Raw genomic sequence first — 3,777 nt, forward strand, 5'->3', positions numbered from 1 at the left:
AATAATGTTTGACATCAATAAATAAATCTCAACATTTATTAGATCCTACTTTAAAGGAGACTTTTCTGCTGCATAAGTTATGTTTCCTGTTGTCTCTTTTTAAAAGTTATTTTTCTAACAATTACCCAGAGTCTTGTGGCTTGAAAGAAAAACATTTATTTTGTTCATGAACCAGTGGTTTGGGAAAAACTTGGCCAGGACAGCTTGTCTCTGCTCCCTTCAGCTTCCCTAGGAATAGCTGATCAGTTGGGGAAATGGAATCCTCTGAAGCTTTGCTCTCCCACATGTTTGATGGTTGATGCTGGCCAGCGGCTGTAAACTTGGTTGGGACAGCAGCATGAACACTGACACAGGCACTTTCAGGCTCTCTTTGTGGCCTGATGGCTCTCACAATTGGAGCTGGGTTCCAAGGGAAAACAGTCTGAAATAGGGAAGCCACATGGTATCCCTTTCACTACATTCTACTCATTAGAAGGAAGTCAGTAAGGCTGGCCCATATTCTGTTTTTTAAATGGGATGAATGTAGCTTCTCTTGTTTTAATTGACACATATATACATAATTATGGGCTATAGAGTGATATTTTTATACATGTATATAGTGTGTAATGATCAAGCTAACTAGCACATTTACTACTTCAACCATTTTTCATTTCTTTGAATTGTGAACATTCAAAATCTTCTGGCTTTTTAAAAATATACAATAATTCTGTATCCATTAACCAGCCTCCCCTCCCCTACTTCTATGAGCTTTTTTTTGTTGTTAAGAGACAGGGTCTTGCTAGTGTAGTCTGGGCTCTGGGCAACTGTAGTCACCCAGACTGGAGACAGTGGTTTGATCATAGTTCACTGCAGCCTCAAATTCTTGGGCTCATGTGATCCTCACACCTCAGCCTCCTGAAGAGCTGGGATTATGGGCATGCATTATTGCACCTGTCTGATTTTTTACTTTCTGGAGATATCTCCCTATGTTGCCCAGGGTTCTCTGGAACTTTTGGCCTCAAATGATTCTCCTGCCTTGGTCTTACAAAGTGCTAGGAAATTACAGGCATCAGCCATATTGCCCAGCCCTCAATTTTCCTTTAGCTCCCACACATGAGTAAGAATGTGCAGTATTTATCTTTCTGTGTCTGCACTTAACATAACATCCCTCAGACTGATCCATGTGGCCACAAATAGCAGGATTTAATTCCTTTATACGGTGAATAGTATTCCATTGTGTTTGTGTGCCACAGTTTTTCGTCCATTCATTTGGTGATGGACATGTAGGTTGATTCCATACACAAGCTGTTGTGAATAGTGCTACAGTACACATATGAGGACAGGTATCTTTTTGATCTATTGTTTTCTTTTCTATTGCCTGAATACCCAGTAGTGTGGTTGCTAGATCCCTCGGCAGTCCCATTATTAGTTTTTTGAGAAAACCTCATGTTGTTCTCTATAGTGGCTGCACTAATTTACCTTCCCACCAACAGCATGTAAGTGTTTACTGTTCTCTGGAGCCTCACCAGCATTTGTTATTTTTTTTGTCTTTTCAATGATAGCAATTTATTCAAATTGAAGCGAGATTATATCACATTGTAGATTTGATTTGTATTTCCCTGAGGATTAGTGATACTGAGCATTTTAAAATTTATTTATTGGCTATTTGTATTTCTTTTTCTAAAGAAAAGTATGGTTAGATATTTTGCCCAATTTTAAACTCAGATTTTTTTTTTTACTGTGAAGTTGTTTGAGTTTTTTTGTATATTTTGTATATTAGTCCCTTATTAGATGAATAGCTTGACAATATTTTCTCCCATTCTGCAGGTTTTCTTTTCACTCAGTTGTTTGCCTGACAGAAGCTCTTTAGCTTAATATAGTACCATTTATCTATGATTTGTTGTTTGCCTATGCTTCTCATGTCTTACCCATAAAAATCTTTGTGCAGACTAATGTCCTCAAGCATTTTCCCTATATTTACTTATAGTGGTTTGATAGTTTTCGGCCTTACATTTCAGTCTTCAATCGATTCTGAGTTTATGTTGTTATATGGTGTTACATAGGAAGCTAGTATCATTCTTCTCCATATGGATATTTAGTTTTCCCAGTGCCATTCATTTGAAGAGGCTGTCCTTTCTCCAACGTATGTTCTTGGCATGTTCGTCCAAAATCAGTTGGCTGGATATATGTGGATTTATTTCTGGGTGCCATATTCTATGGCCTTTACCCCAAGAATCATTACTTCTTAAAATGCAATTCAAATTAGCATAAAACATTTGCAGTTTAAGGAAGGGCTTATGACATCAGAATCCTTAATTATAGAATTCATTATTTTGTGTTTTTTTGAGATAGGATCCTTTTCTGTCATCCAGGCAGAAGTGCAGTGATAATAATTCACTGCAGCCCTGAACTCTGGTACAAACCATCCTTTTGCCTCAGTATCCCAACTAGCTGGGTCTACAGGCATGAGCCACCATGCCCGGGTAATTAAAAAAAATTTTTTTTTCTAGAGATGGGGGTCTCATTATGTTGCTCTGGCTGATCTCAAATTCCTGGCCTCAAGTGATCTTTCTGCCACAGCTTTTTAAAGTGCTGGGATTACCGTCATGAGCCACCATGCCTAGTATAGAGTGTAATATTATTTTCAAAGTCTTATTCCTAGAGCCATGTATTGACTTTGGCCTAAATAACTCAATATGATATCTCTGAAAGTTTTTTTGACATATTGTGGGGAATGATAATGAGGGAAGGGGATTAGACACTTTTTACTAGGAGATAACTTTGTGCCATTTAAGGAGGAACAAAAATAAATTATCAGAAAAATAAAAGTAAGATGAAGTACAAAAGTTCTGTGGCAAAGATGATGATAGTAAAGAATATATTTTTATGACTCATGGTAGCTTTAACATTGTTCTTAAAATTCTGAGTAATTTAAGGGTTCACATTTGAAGAATCTGGTGCATTACTGATAACATTTTATTGCAAGTAAATGCATTTTAAAATTTGCTATTGGTTTTGTATTAGATTATTCTCAACCTACTTCATTATCAAGCTATACTATTTTATTTATGCAGTTTGATGATCTTATGGCAGAGGAGGAAGCTGTATCTTCAAAATGTGTCAATTTGTCTAAAGACAATCAAGTTATCCAACAGGAGTTATTATCTATGAAAAAAGTACAACAAGAATGTGAAAAACTTGAGGAGAATCAAAAGATGTTGGAAGAAGAAATATTAAATCTTAAGACACATATGGAAAACAGTATGGTAGAACTTAGTAAACTACAAGAATATAAATCAGAGCTAGATGAAAGGGCAATGCAGGCAGTAGAAAAATTAAAAGAAATCCATTTACAGGTTACTTGTTTAAATCAGGTAAGTTTACCTGTAATGTGCTTTCATTTAGTTCACTGCAAATTATATTTTGGAGAGAGATATATATATATATAGTGTTTCCTCTGCCTCTCTTGTAGCAATCTGCTTTGTAGAGTTGTAGAAAAAAATGGCATCTGTTTTTTCTTTTAAATATTTAAATTTCCATTATTGTTATAAGAAAATCAATCTTTCAGAGTAATGATTCTCATTATGGAGTCATTTGATGATTAAGACCAGTTGGCATAGGAAAAAATTGTGATTTAGAAATTATGTGATACTTTTGAATTGGTCTTAAGCTACATTGTTCATTGATCACTTTTTCAAATTATGAATGGATTCTATTACTTTTTATATGACCAGATTATATTAATACTAACATAATTATGATTTCAAATTTTTATAAATCAGACTTAATTCTGAATTC

The sequence above is a fragment of the Homo sapiens genome, chromosome 9, assembly GCF_000001405.40.
Source record: "Homo sapiens chromosome 9, GRCh38.p14 Primary Assembly".
NCBI classification, from domain to species: Eukaryota; Metazoa; Chordata; class Mammalia; order Primates; family Hominidae; genus Homo; species Homo sapiens.